The 26289-nt window shown below is 48.3% G+C and overlaps 3 long non-coding RNA genes across 4 annotated transcripts, besides 7 other annotated features; 2 read left to right on the top strand and 1 right to left on the bottom strand.

Annotated features, from left to right (window-relative positions):
- The first annotated feature begins 4194 nt into the window (after window positions 1-4194).
- LOC105373068 (uncharacterized) lies at window positions 4195-13337 on the top strand. Its single transcript, XR_938309.4, has 3 exons — window positions 4195-4297; window positions 8531-8657; window positions 12786-13337. It is a non-coding gene; the product is annotated as an uncharacterized LOC105373068 (long non-coding RNA).
- Window positions 4235-24910, bottom strand: LOC105373069 (uncharacterized). 2 transcript variants are annotated; one of them, XR_007068130.1, is made up of 4 exons: window positions 14783-15041; window positions 13520-14132; window positions 11188-11252; window positions 4235-4882 (listed from the first exon to the last, which is right to left on the bottom strand). It is a non-coding gene; the product is annotated as an uncharacterized LOC105373069 (long non-coding RNA). The 2 variants fall into 2 exon arrangements; XR_001755590.2 differs by lacking the exons at window positions 13520-14132; window positions 14783-15041 and adding an exon at window positions 24755-24910.
- Window positions 11704-12204: an enhancer, noted in NCBI's record as "H3K4me1 hESC enhancer chr22:46044567-46045067 (GRCh37/hg19 assembly coordinates)". NCBI's record gives its function as "activates a minimal SCP1, AML or CMV promoter by ChIP-STARR-seq in primed H9 embryonic stem cells {active_cell/tissue: H9 hESC(primed)}" and the evidence as "EXISTENCE:reporter gene assay evidence [ECO:0000049][PMID:30033119]".
- Window positions 14854-14923: a silencer, noted in NCBI's record as "silent region_13883". NCBI's record gives its function as "represses an Ori minimal core promoter by ATAC-STARR-seq in GM12878 lymphoblastoid cells {active_cell/tissue: GM12878}" and the evidence as "EXISTENCE:reporter gene assay evidence [ECO:0000049][PMID:35858748]".
- Window positions 14934-15223: a silencer, noted in NCBI's record as "silent region_13882". NCBI's record gives its function as "represses an Ori minimal core promoter by ATAC-STARR-seq in GM12878 lymphoblastoid cells {active_cell/tissue: GM12878}" and the evidence as "EXISTENCE:reporter gene assay evidence [ECO:0000049][PMID:35858748]".
- LOC105373067 (uncharacterized) lies at window positions 20462-24276 on the top strand. The gene is made up of 3 exons (XR_938308.3): window positions 20462-22250; window positions 23560-23620; window positions 23959-24276. It is a non-coding gene; the product is annotated as an uncharacterized LOC105373067 (long non-coding RNA).
- Window positions 20733-21504: an enhancer, noted in NCBI's record as "H3K4me1 hESC enhancer chr22:46035267-46036038 (GRCh37/hg19 assembly coordinates)". NCBI's record gives its function as "activates a minimal SCP1, AML or CMV promoter by ChIP-STARR-seq in primed H9 embryonic stem cells {active_cell/tissue: H9 hESC(primed)}" and the evidence as "EXISTENCE:reporter gene assay evidence [ECO:0000049][PMID:30033119]".
- Window positions 20733-22330: a biological region, named in NCBI's record as "CDK7 strongly-dependent group 2 enhancer GRCh37_chr22:46034441-46035640".
- Window positions 21131-22330: an enhancer, noted in NCBI's record as "CDK7 strongly-dependent group 2 enhancer chr22:46034441-46035640 (GRCh37/hg19 assembly coordinates)". NCBI's record gives its function as "activates an origin of replication core promoter dependent on BRD2, BRD4, P300/CBP, MED14 and CDK7 cofactors, with strong dependence on CDK7, by STARR-seq in HCT116 cells {active_cell/tissue: HCT116}" and the evidence as "EXISTENCE:reporter gene assay evidence [ECO:0000049][PMID:35650434]".
- Window positions 21548-21842: an enhancer, noted in NCBI's record as "tiled region #12951; HepG2 Activating non-DNase unmatched - State 4:PromP, and K562 Activating DNase matched - State 8:EnhW". NCBI's record gives its function as "activates a minimal TATA promoter and a strong SV40 promoter by Sharpr-MPRA in HepG2 and K562 cells {active_cell/tissue: HepG2 | K562}" and the evidence as "EXISTENCE:reporter gene assay evidence [ECO:0000049][PMID:27701403]".
- Window positions 24911-26289: the final 1379 nt, after the last annotated feature.

Below are 26289 nucleotides of genomic sequence, written 5' to 3'. Positions count from 1 at the left end.
AGACTGCAGTAAGCTGTGATTGTGCCACTGCACTCCAGCCTGCATAACAGAGTGAGACCCTGTCTCTAAATAAATACATAAATATAAATAAAATGATAGACCCAGCCCAATCATATCAATAATTACAATAAAGTATAATGGAATAAACACTGATTAAATATTAGATATTATCAGCCAGGCGCAGTGGCTCATGCCTGTAATCCCAGCATTTTGGGAGGCCAAGGCAGGTGGATCACCTGATGTCAGGAGTTCAAGACCAGCCTGGCCAACACGGTGAAACCCTGTCTCTACTAAAAATACAAAACTTAGCCAGGCATGGTGGCGGATGCCTGTAATCCCAGCTACTCGGGAGGCTGAGGCAGGAGAATTGCTTGAACCTGGGAGGCAGAGGTTGCAGTCAGCCGAGATTGAGCCACTGCCCCCCAGCCTGGACAGAGCCAGACTTCATCTCAAAAAATAAATAAATAAATAATAGGCTGGGTGTGGTGGCTCACACTTGCAATCCCAGCACTTTGGGAAGCCAAGGCGGGAAGATTGCTTGAGCTCAGGAGTTTGAGACCAGCCTGGGCAATGTGGCAAGACCCTGTCTCTGCTAAAAAGTTAAAAAAAAAAAATTTGCTGGTTGTGGTGGTGCACACCTGTAGTCCCAGCTACTCAGGAGGCTGCGGTGGGAGGATTGCTTAAGCCCAAGAGGTCAAGGCTGCAATGAGCTGTGATCGCACCACCGCACTCCAGCCTAGGTGACAGAGCAAGACCGTATCTCAATTTAAAAATAAAAGGGCCAGGCTCGGTGGCTCATGCCTGTAATCCCAGCACTTTGGGAGGCCGAGGTGGGTGGATCACTTGAGGTCAGGAATTCAAGACCAGCCTGGCCCAACATGACGAAACCCTGTCTCTACTAAAAATACAAAAATTATTTGTGCGTGGTGGTGCACATCTGTAATCCCAGCTACTTGGGAGACTGAGGCAGGAGAATAGCCTGAACCTGGAAGGCAGAGGTCGCAGTGAGCCGAGATTGCACCACTGCACTCCAACCTGGGCAACAGAGCAAGACTGCATCTTGAAAACAAAAACAAACAGAAAATAATAAAAAGGGCATATTGTGAACAACTTTATAATAATAAAGTTTCACAAAACCTATGTGAAATGGTCAAATTCCCTAAAAGACACAAATTACCAACTCATTCAAGAAAAAATACAAAACTTAAACAGTCTGATAATCAATTAAATAAATTGAACTTATAAATAAAAACCTTCCCATAAAGCAACCCCAAGTTGACATGGCTTCAATGATAAATACTATCCCTCATTTAAGGAAAAAACAACACCAATTCTACACAAACTCTTTCAGAAAAGAGAGAGGGAACACTTCCTAACTTATTTTATACAAGGCTATTATTACTCTGATTCTAAAAACAGTCAAAAGCTTTACACACACACACATATATACACACACACACACATAGACACACACAATCCCTGCAGACAGGCCGGGCGCGGTGGCTCACCCCTGTAATCACAACACTTCGGGAGGCCAAGGTCGGTGGATCATGAGGTCAGGAGTTCGAGACTAGCCTGGCCAAGATGGTGCAACCCCATCTCTACTAAAAATACAAAAATTAGCTGGGCATGGTAGTGGGCACCTGTAATCCCAGCTACTCGGGAGGGTGAGGCAGGAGAACCTCTTGAACCTGGGAGGCAGAAGTTGCAGTGAGCCAAGATCATGCCACTGCACTCTAGCCTGGGCAACAGAGCAAGACTCCATCTCAAAAAAAAAAAAAAAAAATCTCTGCAGACCAATATTCCTAACTATCATAGACACAAAAATCCTTAACAAAATATTAGCAAATTAAATCAAACCATCTATAGAAAGAATAAGGCATCCAGACCAGGTGGGGTGTATTTGGGGAATTCAAGATTAGTTTAACTTCTAAAATGATTTAAAAGTTGGTGAATCAATATGATTCACCATATTAATAGAATAAAAAAGAAAAGTGTATGATCGTTTCAATAGATATGGGGAAAAGCATTTGATAAAATTCAATACCCTCTCAATAAAAACTTCCAGAAAATTAGAAATAGAAGGGAACTTTCACAACCCGATTGAGAGCTTCTACAAAACAAAAACAAACCAAAATTTACACCTCATATCATACTCAATGGTGAAGGACTCAGCTTTCAAATAAGATCAAGAACAAGGCAAAGATGTCTGCCATCACTATCTTCGGTATTTTACTGAAGGTCCTAGCCAAGGCTGGAAAAAGAAATAATAGACAAACAAATTGGGGGGAAAAAAGTGTATATAGGCAGTCCTAATGAATTTATAAAAACACTATTAAAACTAATAAGTGAATGTAGCAAGTTTGCAAGATACAGGTTAATATATGAAAAATATCCAGCACTATATTTCATGAAAGATATACAAGACCTGTGCAGTGAGAAACACAAACAATTACAAAATGAAGTTGAAAAAGACCTATTTCAATGGAAAGATACATCATGTTTGTGAGTTGGAATACTCAATATTGTTAAGATGTAAGTCCTCTTCAAGTTGACCTATCCATTTGGTATAATTCCAATTAAAATTTTAACATGCTTTGTGAAAAGATTTTGAAAATCTGATCTTAAATTTATACAAAAAGGCAAAGGACCCAGAATATCCAAAACAATTTTGAAAAAGAACAAAGGTGAAGGCCTTAAACTATTTGATTTCAAGATACTATAAAACTACAGTTATCAAGATAGTGTGAAATTGTCATGTAGATCGAGAGAACAGAATACAGAGCCCAGAAATAAACACACACTAACAAAGTGTTAAAAGCAAAACTTTAGCTGAATTAAATTGAATTGAATTGAGCAAAGAATGATTCGTGAATTGAAGAGCCTCCTGAGCCACAGTAGGCTCAAAGGCACCAGCATAGCCACATGGTGGAAGAAGATTTATGGACAGACAAAGAAAAGTGACAGAAAATGGAAGTGAGGGACAGAAACAGCTGGACTGGTTACAGCTCAGCGTTTGCCTTATTTGGACATGGTTTGAACAGTTGGCTGCCTTTGATTGGTTAAAACTCAGTGATTGGCACATTACTAGGCACACAACTCTACTTAGGTTTTAGTTGACGATGTACAGAGAAACCCTTAGGCCGAACTTAAAATATGTAAGGAGGTAGCTTTAGATTAAACTTAACAATTCCCCTCTTTTGATCATCCTCTCAATTTTGAGAGATTGACCAAAACTTTGTCATTGCTGTTACTATCACCATCATAAACGTACTTAGTTAGTCTTGGAACCCACTGGGAAACAGCAAAACAGTGGGTTTTGTAAGTTGGGAACAAGGACTTCAGGTTACTTTTTTGTAAAGGTTAGAGTAGAGGGTACATCCTGGAATGTCCTGTTCACAGGAAAAAGATAAAATCAGGTCTTTTCTAGGATCTATGTGTTTCATGAAAGTCTTAGTTTGATTATATCACATTTAGCATGAGTAACTCCATTTTGGTTTGTTCTGGTCTATTGGGGCTTAGTGCAGGAGCTCAGTCCAAAACAATGGCCTCCCATAATTTTCTTTTAAAATTCTCCCCTTTTGGTCACGTTCTCACTTAGGTGAGAGTGTGACCAAAACGTAGGGCCTTACTGCCACTCTCATTTACCATCATTTTGGGCTTCTGGTCTCAGCACGTCATTCATAGGTTATGGTGCCCTCATGGCCACACATTTCTTTCAGCTCTTGTCATTCCACCTGAAGAGAGACCATTTGACATTCTAGAGATGGCTGCATGCAGACATTTAAAACTTTTAAGAGAAGACAGCACACCAGGGAAACGATGATTATGAATATCAGAAAGATAATACCAAGAGTTTGGAGTATGCTCCTTAGCCAAGGTCCCCATAAACCAAACAAGCTAAAACCAAATAGATCAAAGGATCAAAGAATGAGCTAAAGAGTCTACTCACTTTAACTGAGCACTCTCTTTGTTAATCCCCTACAACTGAATCTCTATAACACCAGATGTTATGTATTTTTCCATGGGCAACAAGTGCCAGGAGCTCTATAGATACTTCTGTTTAGCCAGTAAGAAATCTAGAGAAATTCTATTATTTAGCATAACTTTCCCAAAAGAATTTAAAGTCCGTTGCGTAACCACAGGCTTTATGGTAGAATCTGCTGTGGGGCCTCTCATGAGGGATACATTTCTAATCATTGCCTCATTTACTCCAAACCATGCAAAAAGGACCTAACAAATGATGCCCTTCTAGAAGAGTGAAGACCTCCTGGCAATGTTTTCTTTAACCCATGAGGTGGGTAAACAGGAGTAGATCCATGTTGTCCTTCTGACTGATTATAAGGGAACATAATATACCATTCAAATTTCTCACCTACATTGGGCCTTCATCTTCCATCTGTCAAACCATAAGGTTATCCATGTACAAGGCTGGCTGCAAAATCCTTCACAAATAAAAGTATACCCCATGAGTACACACAACTGACCCCGACTTCACCTCTATTGCTCATGGAGGCATAAGCAAGGGGGAAAAATTTGAAAGATTGAGAGTCTCCTGATAGTAGAGGAATCTTGATTCATGATCTTGGGGAAAAGCTGTTCACATCAAGAATGTCATCTTCTGGGGAGACACTTCCCTGGTTAGTGTTACCTTAAAGTTTCCAAAGGGTGTACAGTTCCAGGAGTGTGGAGGGAACCTTTTGGGTTGTGAGATTATGAACCCAAAGTTCAAGGTCCCAGAGTTTTGCTGTAGTGTGGATGGCAAAGGCAGTCTATTTCTGATGTTCCCAGAAGATCCAGTCTTCAGGTTCTAGATTGTGGAGGGGTTGATTTTCCTCAGTCAGTGAACCACGAAAAGCTTTCTTTACCTGGAGAAAATACACTGCAGCATAATGAGCCACCGTCATATCATCAGCCCTCTTGCATGGGAAAGCTTTTCTACAACCAGAAAACAGGCACTGAGGATGACATTTGAATGAAATCTGTCCATATTTATTTAAATGGCCCGTCAGGTAGTGGAATATACCTGACATTTTGATAGTCTTACCAGAAATATGGGTTTGACCGAAATGCAAAGTTAATTCAAATAGGAAATCAATAAGCTATCAATACACACCAATTAGAAAAAATAAAGTTTATGAGTGTCACCGAGGATTAGAGTAACTGGAACTTTTTTTTTTTTTTAAGACAGAGTCTCACTGTGTCGCCTAGGCTGGAGTGCAGTAGCACGATCTCGGCTCACTGCAACCTCCACCTCCCGGGTTCAAGTGATTCTCCTGTTTCAGCCTTCCAAGTAGCTGGGACTACAGGCGCCTGCCACCACACATGGCTAATTTTTGTATTTTTAGTAGAGACAGGGTTTCACCATGTTAGGCAGGCTGGTCTCCAACTCCTGACCTCAGATGATCCACCCACCTCGGCCTCCCAAAGTGCTGGGATGACACGCGTGAGCCACCACGCCAGGCCTAGAGTAACTGGAACTCTTACACATTGCTAGTTGGAGTGCAAATTGGTATGGCCACTTTGCAAAACAGTATGGCAATACCTTTAAAAACTAAACATTTCCAGGCACAGTGACTCACACCTGTAATCCCAGCACTTTGGGAGGCCAAGACAGGAGGATTATTTGAGCCCAGGAGTTCAAGACCAGCCTGGGCAACATAGGGAGATCCTGTCTCTACAAAAAAATTAAAAAATTAGCTGGGCGTGGTAGTGCACACCTGTAGTCCCAGCTATTCAGGAAGCTGGGGCAATAGAATTGCTTGAGCCCAGGAGTTTGAGGTTATAGTGAGTTATGATGGCACCACTGCACTCCAGCCTGGAGACCTTGTCTCAAAAAAAACCAAAAGCTAAACATACATTTACAACATGTCCCCTCATTTCCACGTATGTCTACACAAAACATGTACGTGAATCCTTATAGTAACATTATTCATAATAGCCCAAAACAGAAGCAACCCAAATGTCCATCACCCGGTGAATGGGCAAGCAAATTGTGATATAGCCATATAATAAAATGCTGCTCAGCAATAAAAAGAAACAAAATGCTAACACATGCAAAAATGTGGGTGAGTCTCAAAAACATCATGCTGAATGAAGGACATCAAGCACAAGAGACTGTGTACTGTATAACTTCATTTATATGGAATTATAGAAAAGACAAAACTATAGTGATAACATGGAAGACCAAGGTGGGTGGATCACTTGAGGTCAGGAGTTCGAGACCAGCCTGGCCAACATGGTGAAACCCTATCTCTACTAAAAATACAAAAAATTAGCCAGGCATTGTGGCGGGCACCTATAATCCCAGCTACTTGGGAGGCTAAGGCAGGAGAATCACTTAAACCTGGGAGGCAGAGGTTTCGGTGAGCCAAGATTGCACCACTGCACTCCAGCCTGGGCAACAGAGGGAGACTCTGTCTCAAAAAAATGAAACAAACAAACAAAAAAAAAAACACACAAACAAACAAAAAAATTATAGTGATAACAGATAAGTAGTTGCATGGGGTTGGAGAGGGGAAGAGGATGGAGTGTGAAGGAACAGGAGGAAACTGGCCAGGGGAAGGGAATTGTTCTCTCTCATGATGGTGATGGTGGTTACCTGTATACAGTTACCCTCTGGGCACATACATGCTGGTGGCTCACATTTGTAATCCAGCACTTTGGGAGGCTGAGATGGAAGGACAGCTTGAGGCCAGGAGTTTGAGACCAGCCTTGGCAACATAGTGAGACCCTGTCTCCAGAAAAAATTTAAAAATTAGCTGGGCATGGTGGCACATGCCTGTAGTCTCAGCTAGTTGGGAGGTTGAGGCAGGAGGATTGCTTGAGCCCAGGAGATCAAGGCTGCAGTGAGCTGTGATCGTGCCACTACTCCAGCCTGGATGACAGAGCGAGACCCTATCTCAAAAAATAATTAATTAATTAATTTAACAAAAAATAAAAGGTGAATTTGATTGTGTACGAATAATAGATCATGAAAAAAAAAATCCAGGGCTGGGCACGGTGGCTCACACCTGTAATCCCAGCACTTTGGGAGGCTGAGGCGGGCAGATCACGAGGTCAGGAGATCGAGACCATCCTGGCCAACATGGTGAAACCCCGTCTCTACTAAAAATACAAAAATTAGCTGGGCGTGGTGGCGCACGTCTGTAATCCCAGCTGCTCGGGAGGCTGAGGCAGGAGAATCGCTCTAACCAGGGAGTCGGAGGTTGCAGTGAGCCGAGATCGTGCCACAGCACTCCAGCCTGGCGACAGAGCGAGACTCTGTCAAAAAAAAAAAAAAAAATCCAACAACAATAATGGTCATGAAGGATAACTAGTGGCAGACTTGCCCTCTTGCCTCAAACAACTAAAAAACTGAGCAAAATATACGGGAAACAGAACCCTTTCTCAGACGTTGATTAACAGGAAGAATAGGACTGGGATCCCTGAGAGAAAGAAATAAACGAGGTGATCTTTATGATCGCCCAGCCTTTCTGCCTGGACTCACATTCCACATCACAGCACAGAAAGCAGGGGCCCAGGATAGCAAGACAATCTCAATGAATTAGGGAGGCAGAGATCACAGATTGCAAATCGAAGTGGCTGGAATTTCCGGAGGTGGAAGCTTTGCAGAGAATGAACTCCAGAAATCAGATAGGCATCTGCTTGGGTCTCGGACTAAATATTAAACTGTGCGTGCGCTGGGGGAGAGTCCACAGAACAAGACAAAGAACAACTGTCAGGGAACTGTAACCTTCACAATTCCCGGGGCTCACACAGGGCTAGGAGACATTGGAGTTCTGATTGTCAGAGTGGAGAGATGCTTGTGACATGGATATACCTAGAAAGCATTACGATAAAGGAAAGACAGCAGACAAAAAAGACTACATAGCATATGATTACATTTATATGAAATCCCTAGAAAAGACCAAAAACGATACGGGCAAGCAGTAGATTTGTATTTGCCTAGAGCTGGGAGTAGGAACAGGGATATTTGGCAAATGACCACAGGACACACTGCAAATAGACCACAAATGGAAATACTAGGGGTGACGGAAGTGCTCCAGAACTCCTTGATCGTGCCACTGAGTACGTTTACCAACAGTCAGCAAACTTCTTTTGTTTTTGAGACAAGAGTCTCGCTCTGTCGCCCAGGCTGGAGTGCAGTGGTATGATCTCGGCTCACTGCAGCCTCTGCCTCCCGAGTTCAAGCGATTCTCCCGCCTCAGCCTCTGGGGTGGCTGGGATTACAGGCATGTGCCACCGTGCCGGGCTACTTTTTGTGTTTTTAGTAGAGACGGGATTTCACCATGTTGGCCAGCTTGTCTCAAACTCCTGACCTCAAGTGATCCACCTGCCTCGGCCTCCCAAAGTGCTGGGATTACAGACGTGAGCCACTGTGCTAGCCCCAGTCAGCAAACTTTTAAAGAAAACAAGCTCCTGTCATGCTAACCAAGCCCTGGTAGATATGGAGACCCTGACCATGATGTCAAGGGTCCACGTGGCCAGTACTGCGCATGACAAGCTGGATTCTATCACAACTTTCCAGGTGCTGCAGCAGTTCACCAGAGCACGGAAGTGGCACATCCGGGACTGAGAACTGGCAAGGCCAGAGGGCAGAAGCAAGTCACACAAGCCAGTGGCCCAAAATCACGTCATCTACCTCCGTTGCACTGGTACGTGTCCCTAAGCTCACCTGTGGCCACCAGGTGGGAGTGCCTTAGGATCACAGGAAGAAGGAAAAAGGGCAGGCTTGGTTCACAGATGGAATTGCTTGGTGTACTAGTTCCTGGCGGCTGCAGTAACAAATACTCACAAATTTAGTGGCTTGAAACAACACACATTTAATATCTTACTGTCCTGGGGTTCAGAAGACCGAAATGGGTCTCACTGAGCTAAAATCAAGGTGTCCATCAGCTCCTTTTTTTTTTTTTTTTTTTCTTGAGATGGAGTCTCACTCTGTCGCCCAGGCTGGAGTGCAATGGTGTGACCTTGGCTCACTGCAGCCGCCACCTCCCAAGTTCAAGCGATTCTTCTGCCTCAGCTTCCCGAGTAGCTGGGACTACAGGCTCATGCCACCATGCCCGGCTAATTTTTGTATTTTTAGTAGAGACTGGGTTTCGCCATGTTGGCTAGACTGGTCTCAAACTCCCGACCTCAGGTGAACCACCCACCTCGGCCTCCCAAAGTGCTGGGATTACAGGTGTGAGCCACCTCACCCAGCCCATCAGCTCCTTCTGGAGACTCTAGGGGAGAATGTTTCCCTGTCTTTTCTACTTTTAGAGGCGTCCACACTCCTTGGCTCATGGCTTCTTCCTCCAGTTTCAAAGCCAGCCACACAGGGCTGAAGGGCTGAGTCTTTCTCACAATGCCATCCTTCTGGTTCTTTGCTTTCATTATCACACCTCCTTTCTATCTCTAACATGAACTCTCCTTCCTCCTTCTTTTTTTTATAAGATCCCTGTGATTACATTGGGCCCACCCAGATAACTTAAGATAATCTCCCACTTCAAGATCAGCTGATGAGCAACCTGAATCCACCCCCTACCTTGTAATTTGACATATTCACAGGTGCCAGCTCTTAGGATAGGGACCTCTTTGGGAGACTGTTCTGACGACCACACTCGGTCTGCAGGCACAAGCCAAAAGTGGAATGTGGCTGGATTGCAGCCCCATCCAGGGATGGCTTTGAAAGCAGCAATAAGTTGAAATCTTAAGGGACAGAGTTTTAAGGGTTGAGCTGGTCATCTATCTCACAAGGAAAGAGAGGTGGCCCAAGGTTGGAGTATATAGAGATTCATGAACAGTGGCAGATAGCGTGGTCGGAAGCCTGAAGATTGGGAATCAGATCTTGAGGAGAAAGAAGGTGTGAATGAACAAAGAGAATGGGCAACAAGAAAAAAATATCTTTACGTCACAGGTTCATGCGCGCCGGGGAGTGTCCAACACAGAAGAGGCATTCAACAACCAACAATGGCGTTAGCCACCAGCCTTTGTCCTTGGCCCCCAGGGAGCAGATACAATGTTCTCATGAATCGATTGGCTACAGTGGCAAGGATTGAAGCCGTGCATGAGCCCGCTGGCATGGACAGCCACTCATTAAGACTGATCCACCCACTGTCACCATCAAACATTCAGCTTCTCCCCCTGCCCAATCCCGCTTCCTTTACTCTCCACTGTGATACCGAGAGAACTTCCCAGTAAACTTCCTACACCCAAATTCTCTATCCTCCACGTCCTAGGGAGTCCCAGCTGGGACAAGATGCTCACCGACTATTTGTTGACAGGAATTGAACTAACCTGCCTCCATTGTGGCCCAGGCCATCTTCCAAAGAGGGAGGGACCCACCTGAGGCACCCATCCAAGGCTGGTGACCCAAACCATGGTTTTCTCTTTTTCTTTTTTTTGAGATGGAGTCTCACTCTGTTGCCCAGGCTGGAGTGCAGTGGCACCATCTTGGCTCACTGCAACCTCTATCTCCCAGATTCAAGTGATTTTCCCACCTCAGCCTCCCGAGTAGCTGGGATTACAGGCACCCGCCACCACCCCCAGCTAATTTTTGTATTTTTAGTAGAGATGGGGTTTCACCATGTCGGCCAGGCTGGTCTCGAACTCCTGACCTCAGGCAATCTGCCTACCTTGGCCTTCCAAAGTGTTGGGATTACAGGCATGAGCCACTGCGCCCATCCCCTGGTTTTCTCTTTAAGGACCCATTTCGTCCCTAGATGACTGACCCCACAAATACCCCTACAACCTCTCTACCTCTAGGCCTCAGTCCCCTGAGCTCATCATCTATACCAAGGCTACTTGCCCACAATGAAGCTGAGATGCTTTGCTAATGCTGGCATCCCGAGCACAGATGAGTGGGCAGCCCTTGAACAGGTGGAGGTGGATAGCAAGGGACAGGTGGCTAGCGAGAGAGGACGTGACTCTCCTGCTGGGGTCTCCGCTGACCTCCCACCTAAGCCAGAGTGCTCTGCGTTCTGGGTCATTGAACTCTGTGTCTCCCTTTGCTGACACCTACACAGTCTGTAATTATTCAGTGGAGTCACTTATTTCCTTGTTTGTTGCCTGTCTGTCCTAAAACATATGCTTCATGAGGGTACGAACGTTGTCTGTCCAGCTTGTGGTTCTATTCTTGGCACCAAGCCTGGTACCTGGCTGTGTGGACTCAGGGCACACATGTGAAACCCCTCGTTTTCCTACCTGCTGGCTGTGGAACATCAGGCAGGTCAAAGTCACTCCATCTCACTGAGCCCCAAGTTCCTCACCTGCAAAATGAGAATAAAGGGGTGTTGGCACAAGGATGAATGAGATAACACAGCCACAAAGCACTTGGCACAGTGGTCACACATAGAAAATGCATTTCCAGGCCGAGTGTGGTGGCTCACACCTGTAATTCCAGCACTTTGGGAGGCTGAGGCAGGCGGATCACAAGGCCAGGAGTTCAAGACCAGCCTGGCCAACATGGTGAAACCCTGTCTCTACTAAAAACACAAAAATTAGCCAGGCCTGGTAGCACGTGCCTGTAGTCCCAGCTACTCAGGAGGCTGAGGCAGGAGAATCGCTTGAACCTGGGAAGCAGAGGTTGCAGTGAGCCAAGATTGTGGCACTGCACCCCAGCCTGAGCAACAGAGCTCAAAAAAAAAGAAGAAAGAAGGAAGGAAGGAAAGAAGGAAGAAAGAAAGAAAGAAAGAGAGAGAGAAAGAAAGAAAAAGAAAGAAAGAGAAAGAAAGAAAGAAAGAAAGAAAGAAAGAAAGAAAGAAAGAAAGAAAGAAAGAAAGAAAGAAAAGAAAGAAAGAAAGAAAAGAAAAGAAAGAAAATGCATTTCTAGGTAGGGGAGCACAGCGCTCTGGGCGTCCATGCCTGCGCCCTGCCCTGTTCCTTTGTGAACTACAAGGCAGAGCCATCTGCCAGAAAAGATGTCACCCATTTGGAATACATGCTGGGAAGAGGAGGAGGCTGAGAGCATGGGGTGAGCAGCTGCCTCTGAGTACCATGGCTTTGCAGGCACCAAACATCCTTGGTGTGGGCTCTCTCCCACCAGAGTGTGGAGGCTAGCATGGGATGGCGGAGACAGGTGCTGTGTAAATCCCTGGCTTGAGTGCTGCGGATGAGCAGGGCGGAAGGACAAAAGGGCCAGGCATGTGAGGGCGCTGGCAAGAGTGTGGCTGGGATGATGTCCCCTGTGGTCCGGAGGCCCAGAGATGGGGACCCGGGGTGGCTGGTGTCCACAGGAAAGTGCAGGGAGCTGAGATCAGGACGAGGTCAGGGGGTGTGGTGGGACGGAGGCGTGAGAGGCCTGGCGGCGTCGGAAGTGGTCAGGGAGCGGGATCTCGGAGTGCAGTTGGAACCTTCAAGTGATGACAGGGCCCAGGGCGTGGGTGGCCACAGTGAGCGGAGGTGAAGGTCACTGCCCAGCAGGTGTGGGAAGGGCAGCCCAGCACTGGCAGCCCCCCGAGGCTTTGCGTGCATGGTTCCTGGGTTCCATGCGTCCCCCGATGACTCACAGGTGTGCTTCTGTGGCCCTTAGTTCTCACCCTCACTTCCTGCTTCTGTCTACCCTGTGAGCAGCGTCTCACCACCACCAAACATTGCTGAACAGGACTTATTTTCTTTATACCAAATCCTTCCCTTTTTTAACCACCCTATCATTGTCTTCCCAAGCCCCCAATTTTTATGTCACTCATTTCCTCCTCTTCTTCGCTGGTTTGGCTCCTCCCCACCCCCAGTCTATTACAAATCCTCATGAATTATTTTGTCCATAACATTTCTAAGCTAAGTGTCCTTCTTTCCAATTTCAGAGCTAAAACCATGCCCAGGAACTGGCGTCCCAAATCTAAACAGTGAGGCTTGAGAAGCGGGCTGGATTCCACGGTGCGCAAGTGTGCAGAGGACATAAGCCGAGAAGAGGCCCTTGGAGAGGACAGAAATAACAACATCGTAGGCAGACAGTTGTGGGTTCTGCCAGTCACGCTTTCGCACAAGTCACAGCACTCAGCCTCAGTAAGCAGAGGAAAATAACAGAAAACAAAGTTGGAAAGCATGGCTGAGGAGAGGGAGATAAACCGAGATAAATCGTGAAGAGTGGTTGAAATAAGCTACCGACAGGCTTGACCCGCAGCAGGTGCCTGATTCTGCTGGTTCCCAGTCCAGCCCCAGCTCAGGTGCACAAGGCGTCCGGGGGACTGCCAGCACTGCACAGCCCTTTCCATACCTCCTGGATGGTGACCTTTACCTCCGTTCCACCGTGGCCACCCATACCCTGGGCCTTTGTCATCTCTCGAAGGTTCCAACTGCACTCTGAAATCCCACTCCCTGACTGCAGCTTCCAAAGCTGCCAGGAAACTGCCAGCTTCCAGGCCAGCCACTCAACAGCCTCCAAGACTCACTTTCCTCATCTATAAAATGGGGTTTCTAATATCTGCTTTGCCCAGCACACAGAGCTGCTGGGAGAATCAAATATGATTATGTATATGAAGATACTTCACGAATGATGACATTCTAGTAAGCTAGCAAATAGTTGTCCCAGCCATACCCACTGCCAAATGGGCCACTCAGGAGATCCAAGGAGATCACTCTGCCGCGAATGCTATTTTATTCATATCATTCAGGACCTTCATGGTGGAGGCTTGTTGACATTGGCTTGTGGTTGAGAGGAGCTCCGGAGTCAAGCCGTCTGTGTCCAGATCCCTGCCTCAAGTGCTACCAGCCATGTGAGCTGAGTGCATTATATAACTTCAGCATGACTCAGCGTCCACTTCTGAAAGATGGGATGGACGATGGTGACAGGGTCATCCCATTGGGTCATTGTGAGCATTCAACGAGAGGGCATAGGACAGTGGCTGGTAAGTGCTCATAAACCGTTAGCCGGCCGGGCACGGTGGCTCACGCCTGTAATCCCAGCACTTTGGGAGGCCAAGGCGGGTGGATCACCTGAGGTCAGGAGTTCGAGACCAGCCTGGCCAACATGGTGAAACCTCGTCTCTACTAAAAATACAAAAATTAGCCAGGTGTGGTGGTGGGCACCTGTAATCCCAGCTACTTGGGAGGCTGAGGCAGGAGAATCCCTTGAACCCAGGAGGCGGAGGTTGCAGTCAGCCAATATCACACCATTGCACTCCAGCCTGGGTTACAGAGTGAGACGCCATCTCAAAAAAAAGAATAAAAAAACCTGTTAGCCATTATTATGATCACACTGTTCACAAGTTCACCCCACTACCAAAAAATGGCCACATTCCACCCACTCCCCACCAACCAAAGGCACAAGCACCTCTGTCATCTGCTCTCTCAGGATGGTCACACATCTCGATGGCCTGGACCATGAGCCAAGGGTGGACGTTCATCCAGAATGGCCCTCGCTTTCCAACTTTGTTTTGTTATTTTTGTGCTGTATAAAAACCCCACTGCTGCAGACACTACTGCCCAAACAAACTGTTGAGTAATTAATGGTTTGACCATTTTTCAACCTCGGCTTCTAGGAGAGGAGACATTTGTACACGACCTGGGATGTCAGGAAACAAGACCAAGGGCTTGAAGAGGGTTGGGGCAGGTCTCCCGGCTGCCCCTCTGCAGCCAAAAGCCTCTCATTGCTCCCCAGATGTCTGTTTCTGCCCCCAAGCATAGCCCATGCCTTGCCCCGCACCTGGGAGGCTCTCTAGCCTCTCCCCGTGGGCCCTGCCAAGGCCTCCCTCCAATGCAATGCGAGTTGCCACTGCCCTCAGGCCCTCTCCAAGTTAGAACCCCACACCCAGCCCACATTTACCCTGTGCGTGGACACACACCTCCTTGCTTTCTTTACCTTTATGATGAGCGCAGTGATTGGTTTTGAACACGTTTCCTCGTCAGGGTTGTGTATGTTGTAAAGCTGTCTTGTGGCCGGGCGCGGTGTGGTGTAGGGTGTTAAAGTGGGGAGATACTCGCTCACAACCTGGAGCGTGAGAGGGCGACAGGCAGGGGACCGCAGAAGGGAAGGGGGGCGCATTGCGGAGGCGGGGGCGGGGCGGAAAGAGGCCAGGGGCCGTTCAGCAGGTTAGCATGGAGCAGGGTGAGACAGTGCTGGAGGAGGAAACGCGCCCGGCGAGGAGCCGCCGCGTCCCGGCCCTGCCAGCCGCCATTCGAGGCCGCGCACCGCCACCTGCTGGGCGCCCGGGGAGGTGCCGCCTAGCCGCACGTGGGTCCCAGGGCAGGCGCCACGCAGCAGCGGAGTCCACCTGGGCAGGTGCGGATCCCCGGGCTCGCCTCCCCACCTCGGAGGGAAGAGCCTGACTGAGGACTCTGGGTCCCAGTCCCAGCTCAGACACCGGCTGAGAGGCTTCCGTGACGGTCAGGTCGGGAGAGGGCTCTCCTGCCTGCCGCACGTCCTGTGAGTCCGTTTGTTCCTCTGCCGGCCCCAGCCCCACCGCAAGCCCCCTGCCTCCGCTGCTCTGCCCACCCTCCCTGGGCACTGGAGTGGGCCCTGAGGAACGGCAGAGGCCCATCTGCAAAGCTCTGAATACCTCTCCCAACCGCAGATTAAATGGCACCCACGGAGGCCAAGCTCTCAGCAAGCACCGCGCTTGACTGCTCCTCTGGGTGCCCAGAAGACCATCGGTCGGTCTGTTCTTCCGAGGAAAGAGGCCCGGACCTTGATTCAGGATCCTCGCCCGGTCTAAACATACACACTTTGGGGACTGGGAGCTGAGCGGTTCTTCTAGAAAGGTCTCCTTGTTCCTTAGTCAAAATACAGGTTTGCCCCGTTTGTTCTTGCTCAGCCTTCTGAAACAATCAGAATAACTTTTTTCGTACGATGCCTACAAACAGCTTTAATGTTCCCTGTAAATATTCATTCCGAGCTAAGTGTGCCCAACTTCCTGCATTCTTTAGAGCAGTGGACAATTTCAACCGAGGACGATTTTGCCCTGCAGGGGACATTTGGCAATGTCTGGAGAACTTTTGGTGATCTACCCGGAGGAGGGAGACCACTCCTGGCGTCTGGTGGGGAGAGGCCCCCGTGCTGCTAAGCATCCTAAGGTACATGGCGTAGCACCTCCATCCCGCCACACGCACAACAAAGAATTGTCCCACCCAAAAGTCAACAGTGCTGAGGTTGAGAAGTCCTGCTTGAGAGTTCTGAGGTTTTTTTGGTTTTTTTGTTTGTTTTTGAGACGGAATCTCGCTCTATCACCCAGGCCGGAGTGCAGTGGTGCAATCTCAGCTCACTGCAACCTGTGCCTCCCAGGTTCAGGCAATTCTCCTGTCTCGGCCTCCCGAGCAGCTGGGATTACGGGCATGCGCCACCACCCCCGGCTAATTTTTGTATTTTTAGTAGAGTGGGGGTTTCACCATGTTGGCCAGGCTGGTCTCGAACTCCTGGGCTCAAGTGATCTGCCCACCTCGGCCTCCCAAAGCGCTGGGATTACAGGCTTGAGCCATCGCAACCGGCCTCTGCTTGAGAGTTCTGAGTCTTCTCAAGGTTCTGGTCCCTTCTGTAGATACTCTTCATGCATTCATGTTTCTATCGCCACGGGGTACCAACTCCAGGCCAGCTCCCACCAGCCTGGACATCGTAAGTTCTAGACACCAGGCGTCTCTCAGTGGAGCCTAACAATTACATCAGCCTTCTTAGCAATGCTTTGCTCATATGATCAGTATATCTTTTTTTTTTTTTTCCGAGATGGAGTCTCACTCTGTCACCCAGGCTAGAGTGCAGTGGCGGGATCTCAGCTCACTGCAACCTTTGCTTCCCAGGTTCAAGTGATTCTCCTGCCTCAGCCTCCCGAGTAGCTAGGATTACAGGCGCATCCCTCCATGCCTGGCTAATTTTTTGTATTTTTAGTAGAGACAAGGTTTCACCATGCTGGCCAGGCTGGTCTCAAACTCCTGACCTCGTGATCTGCCCCCTCCTCGGCCTCCCAAAGTGCTGGGATTACAGGCGTGAGCCACCGCGCCCGGCCGATCTGTATGTCTTTAATCAGTGTTACGGGCCAGGTGCGGTGGCTCATGCCTGGAATCCTAACATTTTAGGAGGCCAAGGTGGGCAGATTGCTTGAGCCCAGGAGTTCAAGAGCAGCTTGCACAACATGGTGAAACCCCATCTCTATGAAAAATTAGCTGGGCATGGTGATGTACACCTGTAGTCCCAGCTACTTGGGCGGCTAAGGTGGGAGGATCGCTTGAGCCTGGGAGGTCAAGGTCGCAGTGAGTCATGATAGCGCCACTGCACTCCAGCCTGGGCGACAGAGCGAGACCTGTCTCAAAAAAAAAAAAAAAAAAAAAAAAAAAAATCAGTGTTTTGAACAGAGAACTTAGAGGCTTAAATATGCATGTGATTAAATAAAAGACATATATTACCTAGAAAAAACAGGTATTATTCTCACACAGAAAAACGTTGGGTAAAATAAACATTCCTATTGGATGGATTCAATTTTAAATGATTCCTCTTATACAAATTTTGTTTCAACCATTCCTCTTAACAAAGAAATGGCGAAGCCCTCCTAAAGCCCTCCAGAACAGACTGAACAAAGGAAAAAAGATGCTTGTCAACTCAAATATGAAAGGCCTGCTCCAAGCTCCCCTAATTATATCTTGGAAGGGAAGCTTTGTCCTATTGACATTCGGGATCATTTTTCACAAGCTCAGGTTACTCCCTTGAAGATTTTTAGGAAGTTTCATGATATGGAGACATTGTTGAAAAATTGGCTGCTTGACTTCTGCCAGCAATCAGATACAGAGATCAAATCTGTTTCTGCCCACTTAGCTTAGAGCATTTCTGGTTATCTTGGGCAAAATGAGTTTGCAACTTTTAACTCAGACTTCTAAGAAGTCAGACGGTTTCACCCACTTTTTGTGTGTGTGGTTTTTTTTTTTACAAAGGATCTCTGAGGAAACTTGGCTGAAGGTGTGGGTTGATCTCTAATATCTGACATATTCTGCATTTGTAAATACCAGAGTACTTAAGAAGCAACAAAAATGGTTTTTATTTTATAAAGTGGAAGAAAAGATCCGAGGAAATACAACTCCTTTCATCAGACCCTTAGATCTTTCCTTTAAAACATAAAATTCTAAAGTAAATTGTGGGTTACTCTTGCCCTGTCCTGAATTCTAAGAGTTTGGCTGCTTAAAATATCATTAAAACATAATGAAATAAAGCTGACGTGGCCATGCTGCAGATTGATTGATGCATATCTGTTTATATGCTAATGAAAACTTTTGAGGAGCATATTTTTATATGGGGTCAAGATACTGAGCAGACCTCCTGTTTCTGGGCTGGGTCTTCATTCCTGGGAAAAGGAGTGTCTAGCAAATAGAAATATATTATAAATCACATTTTTAGCGAGAATGACAAAGCTTAGCAACCCTTGCCTTAGGGAACCTGTCCAATTTGTCAGTTAAAATTCAGCCTTCTGATATAAAACGAGCCCATTCATGTTGTGTGCGGGCTAATTCCTCGTGGAAAGAATCTGTTTGAGAGCTGTCAGCAGTGCAGAGAATGGGAGTAATACCAGGTAGAATGTGGGATCTCTGTGCAGGAGGCTTTGTGTCACTTCCTCAGTTTACCGCCTGTCCCTAAATCACTCACCCATGCAGGACCTTTCTCAGACCCTACATGGGCACGTGGGTGAGCCTCTGAAAATGCAGAGCTCCCTTCTAGGGGAGTTTTTGGTACTCAAGATTAGAACACAAGTCAGAATCTGTTCCCTTTATGAACAGATGGGAAGTATCTCATCTGAGTCTGTAAACCAAGGTAAAAGCGTTTCATTGAAAGGAGAGGGTGGCCAGGCGCGGTGGCTCATGCCTGTAATCCCAGCACTTTGGGAGACGGAGGCATGTGGATCACATGAGGCCAGGAGTTCGAGACCAGCCTGGCCAACAAGACGAAATCCCGTCTCTACTAAAAATACAAAAATTAGCTGGGTGTGGTGGTGCGCACCTGTGGTCCCAGCTCCTCAGGAGGCTGAGGCAAGAGAATCACTTGAACCTGGAGGCAGAGGTTGCAGTGAGCTGAGATCGCGCCAAAGGAAAGGGTCAAGGCAGATCCATTTCCCTCAACATTTGGGCACAGACAGGCCTTTCTGGTATAGGGGGAAGAGGCGGATTTTGATTTCGAGCCCCGTAATTTGTTGATTCTGAGAGTGTGCCCATAGACAGGTTCACTGAAGGCTGCGTGGACAGCAAATGCAACGGGCTTTATGTTGAATGGTGGCACACTTTGGGGAGCAGAGGATGCACTGTAGGCTCACACCCTACATCCGTGTGTTCCCTCTGTGTCCCAAGCCCAGGGGGATGCCCAGCCTCATCCTGCCCTGTCTTCCCAGGGCCAGCGGCAGTCAGCCCATGTGGCTGCTGCACGAACCCCGCACTGACGCTGGACCAAGGCCTTGAGTGCCGTGCACGGACCACCTGCTTCGGACCCCACACCTGCAGTGCTGGGGAAAATTACACCTTTTGGGGCCCCACGCCAGACCTCCCAGTCAGGATCTCTGGGGTCTGTGCCTGGGGACTGCACTGAACCTTCATCTCGGGTGATTTGAGAGCCCCATGAGAGTCCACCTGTGCCTTCCACACCTTTCCTCTGGGGGTGACCGTCCCACAGGGACCAGCCCCAGCCCTGCTCTCCGGGCCCCTACCACCACTGCCTCTTCAAACGCCGGCCCATGAACCCCACAGGCACCCCGTAAGGCCGGCAGCATCGTTTCCAGATGGGCCCAGAAGCTTGAGCCGTGGCAAAGCTCATGGGATTTGGGAGCTGGGATTCTGGGCTACTGTGCCTTGCACTCGCCCAAACCCAGCAGAGACTGTGGACTGGAGCAAGAGCGCTGTGAACCCAGCCTGGCTGCTCCCTGGAGAGGAGGGCGCGGGACTGGACTGAGCCCCACAAGCCTGAGGGAGGAGCACGGGCCTCAGGGGCTCCTGCTCTGGGCTACCACGGCTTCTTCCTGGCTGTGTTTCTTCTGGTCCATCGGGCAACCTCTCTGAATTCAACTGTCCAATCAACAAAACGTGGGTAAGGGAGCACCCCTTTGCCTCTTCCAGGGTGGAAGGGGAGGGCGGGGGTGACCCTCTCTCGGCTTCCTCCCCTGTCCACCTTCCCATTTTAGACCTGGGATGGGAGACGTGTAGACTGTGTTCCAGGATTCAGTCCCAGGTTCTTGGCAGATGTGAATGCTTGGCTGCCCTTCAGGCTGAGTGTAGCTGCCACAAAGACAAAGGGCCCAGCTGACCCTAGGGCTACTGTGTGCCCTCATTCTGAGGCCTGCGAGTTGCCAGCCCTATCCCTTCAAAGGGGTAGTTAGGTGCGTGTATCTCACACCTGGACGCATCACAATGAGGTGGGAAAGTCAAGCACCTCCACAGCCCTTCCCTCTGGGACCCAGGGGAGTCTTCCCAGCCCCTAGCACTCCCCACTCTCCACCAAGGCCAACCAGCACCTGAGGGCAGGCCCCTCCCTGCCCCCAGCACAACTTCCTGACCAGGGACCACAGGCCTAGGGTCTGTGTCACTGATCAACTGTGAAGGCTGAGACATAGCCACCCCCACCCATTCTGAAAAGGAAAAGCCCTCAGAGCTTCCCAGACTGGCACCTGCTCCTAGGGTGTGAGGAGGGTAGCACAGGGTCTGCCCTCAGAGACCTCAGGCTCAGAGAATCAAGCTTCTCCCTCCCCTCCTGGGACCTACAGGGTCTGAGATCGTCCACCAGGAGGAGGAGAAAGGAGTAGAGACCCCCTTCCTCGCTGCTGTCCTGGGACAGCCGGCACCCCTGGCACCCTCTGCCTCCCCACACTTCCATGGCTTTGCCCTCTTGGCTTTCTGAGCCTCTGCCAAGCTTCTGTGCATTCTTCAAGACCCACCTCAAAAGCCACCTCCAGGAAGCTGTCCTGGGTTCCTGTCCCTCGACCCCCAACAGAATTAACTGCCCTCTCCTCTGCTCCCGCCTCCTGCTCCAGGCCCCTGGGGCTCACAGCTCTCAGGCTGTGGTTTTTCTCACCTTCCTGCAGCACAGCACCTCCCTGCGCAGACCAACCTTATCCAATCAACAAACGGGCACTGAGTCCCTCCCTGAGCAAGCTCCGTGGAGGAAAGGGGCCGCCACGTGGGGGATGTGAGATAGTTTATCCCCTTGGCCTACATGTAGGGGTGGGCTGGATGAGGCACCCCTCTCATTGAAAGTCCTGTGGAGGCTCTGAGGGCACCCACAGTATCTAGAGCTGGGGCCAGAAGCTGGACCTGTTGCCAACCAAGACGCTGTCTCCCTGGCCCTTGCTTCCCTCACTGTGAGAATAGGAGCGGTGCACGCAAAGGCATGCCCTCAGCAGCCCTTTGAGGGGGGTGCTGTGAGGGGATTGGTGGCCAGGGCACAGAAAGGTTAAGTGGCTGGCTGAGGTCACACAGCAAGGCAGGTGCAACTCCAAGAGGTCTCTGCACAGGGCATGTTCTCTGTCTGCCCTCTCTGCTACTCCAGGTGTGGCCTCGGGAGAGGGCTGGTCTCCAACTGCACACTTCCTGGATAGCAGTGATCATGGACACATTTCAGGTTGGGCACTTGCAGTGCCAAGGGGAGGAGGACGCAATGTGAAGGGAAGGTTTCTTGGTCGTGGTCTGGATTGACAAGGAGGGCCAGAGGCAAACAAGGATCATCCAGACGGGACGGTTCACCTCTCCCTAACCTCCACAGCGACCCCAGGGCTGTTGGGCACCAGAGGAGGAAATGCTGACTCACTAATAGGAAGCTGGGACACACCCTCGTGTTGCAACCGTGGCCTCCCGGGGGTGCGTCGGCCTCATCTGGCCACTGGGCTGGCGTCCCCCTCTGCTTTCCATCAGCGCATACTGGATTCCCTCACCTTTTGCCGTCCCCACACTGCGCCACCCTGCACCTGGCACCACTCAGCACCTCCTCCTGGCCCTACCCGTCCGCCATGGAATCCAGCCACTGAGAAAGGCACCATTGAAACAGACATAATCATGGGTCAGAAGATGTGACTCAGCCTCTACTCAAATCTGTTTGTCAAACCAAAAGGTGCTTCGTGTTTAAGTCAAACTATCCCTAATGCATTTTCCATTCTCTTCAAAAACCACAGCCATCAGTTTTAAAAAAAGACAGAAAACATGAAGCACACTTCTCTTGCCTGGCTTACCATTTTCTTTGATCCATTAAAATCCAAGAGTGAGCCCTTCCTCGTCTCTAGAGTGTGGAGCAAAGAGGGAATAATTATCCATAAAGTGGCCTTCTGAGTGTTTGCTTTGCGATGAAAGAAAACTTTTGAGAGCTTGGAATAAAGAAGGAATATGTAAGTCTCTCCAGATCCCATCAATAATAATATTAATCAATTAATGATTTACTTGCGTTTTATATGTCTATTTGCTTTGCTATTCATAAGCATACATCGTTTCCTTAGAAACCCTGACATCAGCCAAACTCCATCTCTCTGGGAGCTAAAAGGCAGCTCTCAAGGAAAGACATACAGCTTCTCTCATTTTTTTTTTCAATGTTTGCAAATGGGAAATGATGAATTGATATATTCTAAGGAGCCATTTTTCTTCTTTCTTTTCCTTCCCATTACCATTGAAATCCGACATTTGAAACACCTACTGTATCAACATCTAATTCCCCACCTCCCTTCCCAACAATGCCTTTAGTCTTAACCAAATAACATTGCTTTCACCATGTGTGTCATTTATGTACATATGTGTATGTGCACACACACATATATATACAGTAAATATATATGCCATCAACCTCTTACTGACAAACAAAAATGTTGATTTATTTTCTTAGCTGACTTTAAAAACTTTAGTAATCTCCTTGCTCATGTACAAGACCATAGTAGAGCAAGGAGATTACTCCTTAATAGGAGCTCACAAAGTGTGGGTTGATGACGATAGAAAGTTCTGGATTTGCCAACTAAAAAGGCCACTTATCCACAATACCTCAAGTGGCAGCAAGTCAAATTTCCTTAGTACAAATACTTACAAGGGAATCGGGCAGACAGACAAATATAGATGGCTAAGAGTAGAGTGAATGGTGATTAAGGCACGCCCAACTCAATAACATTTTCTTTCATCTGCTGCTGCTGTGGAGAATATTCTTTAAAGAGGATTTTGTAAGTTTCCTTTTTGGGGACAGATTATAAAAGAAATTGGGCTGGGCGAGGTGGCTCACACCTGTAACCCCGGCACTTTGGGAGGCTGAGGCCAGCAGATCACCTGAGATCAGCCTGGCCGACATGGAGAAACCCCGTATCTACTAAAAATACAAAAATTAGCTGGGCGTGGTGGCGCGCGCCTGTAATCCCAGCTACTTAGGAGACTGAGGCAGGAGAATCGCTTGAACCCGGGAGGCGGAGGTTGTAGTGAGCCAAGATTGCACCACTGCACTCCAGCCTGGGCGACAGAGTGAGACCCTGTCTCCAAAAAAAAAAAAAAAAAAAAAAAAAAAAAGAAAAAAAAAAGAAAAGAAAAGAAAAGAAATTGAAGGCGAAGGCGTAGGAAGGGAAATCTACTTGCTGAGGAAAAATTAGAATATTTTCCAACAAGCAGAAAACTGGGAGGTCAAACAGGTGTTCCCCCATGTTAATGAACATCTTTTCATTTTTACAGGGGCTCCCTTTCCTGCAGTAGCTACTTTGTTTGGGTCTGAGAAGCACCAGTCATGGTCAAGGTGAAACTTAGTGGCTGGGATGGCTGGAGGAAGGAGCCGTTTGCTTATTCATTCAAGCAAATGAGGGTGTCCTCGGCGGGTAGGACAGCTCTTGGCCTCAGGAAGTCTCTGGTCTAGTGGGATGGAGCTATTCAGGCAGCAATGAGTTGGGGGTCTAGAAAAGAGATGAGAGCACAGAAGAGGGGGTTCATTCATCCTGAAAGGGGTTGGAAAGGCTTCCTCAGGACACAGAAGACAGAGGTGGAGCAGGGCCTTGGCAGGTGCAGAGGTCAGGAGAGAAGACATTGTTCTATGGCAAATTTCTGATTCTAAAACTATCACTTTCCTTCTCATATCAGCAAAATTCACCAGACTCAGAAAACTGCCCTGCCCCGTGACTTCCATCTGCTCCTCTCCTGATAATTGTAAAAGCCAATGAAGATTGTGCTTCTTAACTACACATCAGCCGGCTGATTGTAAGTGTTGGGAATATAATTAGGGGTACACGGCTCTGACCCTCACTCTTCGTAGGTTTAACAAGATTGGACTTACGCAATGGCAAGAAGGAAACCGAGATTGAAAATGACCAATTTTGCTGGTTGAGAGGCGTCTTGTTTTCTGGAAGAAACTGAGAATCTGCAGTTGTAGACTGGGAATGCTAGAACCTCTGGAGTGGCATCAACTCGATCGGGGGCCAAAACCATGAGAAAGCACCAATATTTTCCACCGTTTTTAACCAAACTCGGCTGTTGTTGGTCTAAAACCTGCCCTGGGTTTTGAGGGAGCGGTGCTTTTGTGAGCCCAGCTTGCCTTGAGTGCATGGATGGGAACCTGAAACCAGCCAGTCTTGCCTCCCACCCTCTCAACTTTTCCAGTAAAAAATGTGACGGGCACTTTTTTTCCAGTAAAACTGTTCCCCCAGCAGGACAGCCTATATGCAGCTAGGTTCCTGGCAAATGAGCAGGGAATAATAGCTGGCTAGAGGTGGGCGGGACTGAAATACAGCTGTCCACCTCTCCGGAAAACATCACCCAGGGTTCTCCCCATCCCCATCTGACCTTCCAGCCACTAAACAAATAAATAAGGCCTTAGAAGCTCCTAGAGTCAACCACAGCCTCAGCTTCTAAACCGAGGCTGTGATTCTACGAAACTCACCTCACATCTGTGTCATCTTTGAAAGACTCCAATGGCTGGATTGGTTTGATCCTATTCCGAAGGGCTTATAAAGAAGAATCCAGCCGGGTGTGGTGGCTCACACCTGTAATCCCAGCACTTTGGGAGGCCAAGGCGGGTGGATCACTTGAGCTCAGGAGTTTGAGGCCAGCCTGGGAAACATGGCAAAATCCCATCTGTACAAAATATACAAAAATTAGCCAGGCATGGTGATGTGCGCCTGTAGTCCTGGCTACTCAAGAGGCTGAGGTGGGAGGATCGCTTGAGTCTGGGAGGTAGAGGTTGCAGTGAGCCGAGATTGTGCCACTGCACTCCAGCCTGGGTGACAGAGCCAGACCTTGTCTCAAAGAAAAAACAACCCAAAACCTTAAACTCACTCAGTAAATGGAATGCTCCTGGCCTTGCTGCTCTTCATCTGACTGGGTTAAGTTCATGTAGAGAAGGGATCTGAAACATTTCTACATAGCTCCTAGTGATGCATGCATGCATGGGGGGATCCCTGGACCTCTCCCCTGAGCAGAGGCCGTTTACAGCTTGTAATTGTTTGCATTGCAATCAGTACCTACTGGAGACCTAACTACAGAGTTTTCTTGTGAGCACAATGGGAGCCTGGCTTGGAGATCTTTGCTGAGCCCCTATCCCCCAGGATGAGTTCCAAAGTCATTTATTTACCTGTGGCTTTCTCTCTTTCTTTCCTTCTCTTTTTTTCTTAATAATCCAGTTACTAATACTTTAAGTGGACTTCGTTGTTTTTTTGTTTTTTTTTGAAATGGAGTTTTGCTCTTGTTGTCCATGCTGGAGTGCAATGGCACGATCTCTGTTCACCTCAACCTCCGCCTCCCAGGCTCAAGCAATTCTCCTGCCTCAGGCTCCCAAGTAGCTGGGACTACAGGTGTGAGCCACGACACCCGGCTAACGTTTGTATTTTTAGTAGAGATGGGGTTTCACCATGTTGGCCAGGCTGGCCTCTAACTCCTGGCCTCAAGTGATCCTCCTGCCTCAGCCTCCCAAAGTGCTGGGATTATTGGCGTGAGCCACAACACCCGGCAGAAGATTCATTTTCAAAAGTATTCTTCCCAGTACTTTGGGATGCCAAGGTGGGAATATCACTTGAGGCCAGAAGTTAGAGACCAGCCTGTGCAATCTAGCAGGACCCTGTCTCTACAAAAAAAATACAAAAATTAGCCAGGTATGGTGGTGTGCATCTGTAGTCCCAGCTGCTCAGGAGGCTGAGGTAGAGGATCACTTGAGTCTAGGACTTGGATGCTGCAATGAGCCAAGATTGCACCACTGCACTCCAGCTTGGGTGACAGAGCGAGACCCTGTCTCAAAAAAACAAAAACAAACAAACAAAAAAACATATTCTGAGGCCCTAGAGCACAGAGGTGAAGGGAAGGGAGTCTGAACATAGTTCTCTGCCAGCAATTTCTGCTGCTGTTGCTGACATGTGACCTTGGCTCCATTACACAACCTCTCTGAGCCTCAGTTTCCCCATCAGCAAAAGGAGATGATGCAAA

Source organism: Homo sapiens, chromosome 22 (assembly GCF_000001405.40).
Source record: "Homo sapiens chromosome 22, GRCh38.p14 Primary Assembly".
NCBI lineage: Eukaryota > Metazoa > Chordata > Mammalia > Primates > Hominidae > Homo > Homo sapiens.
The sequence above is the reverse complement of the archived record's forward strand: the minus strand, read 5'-3'. Positions and strand labels throughout refer to the sequence as shown.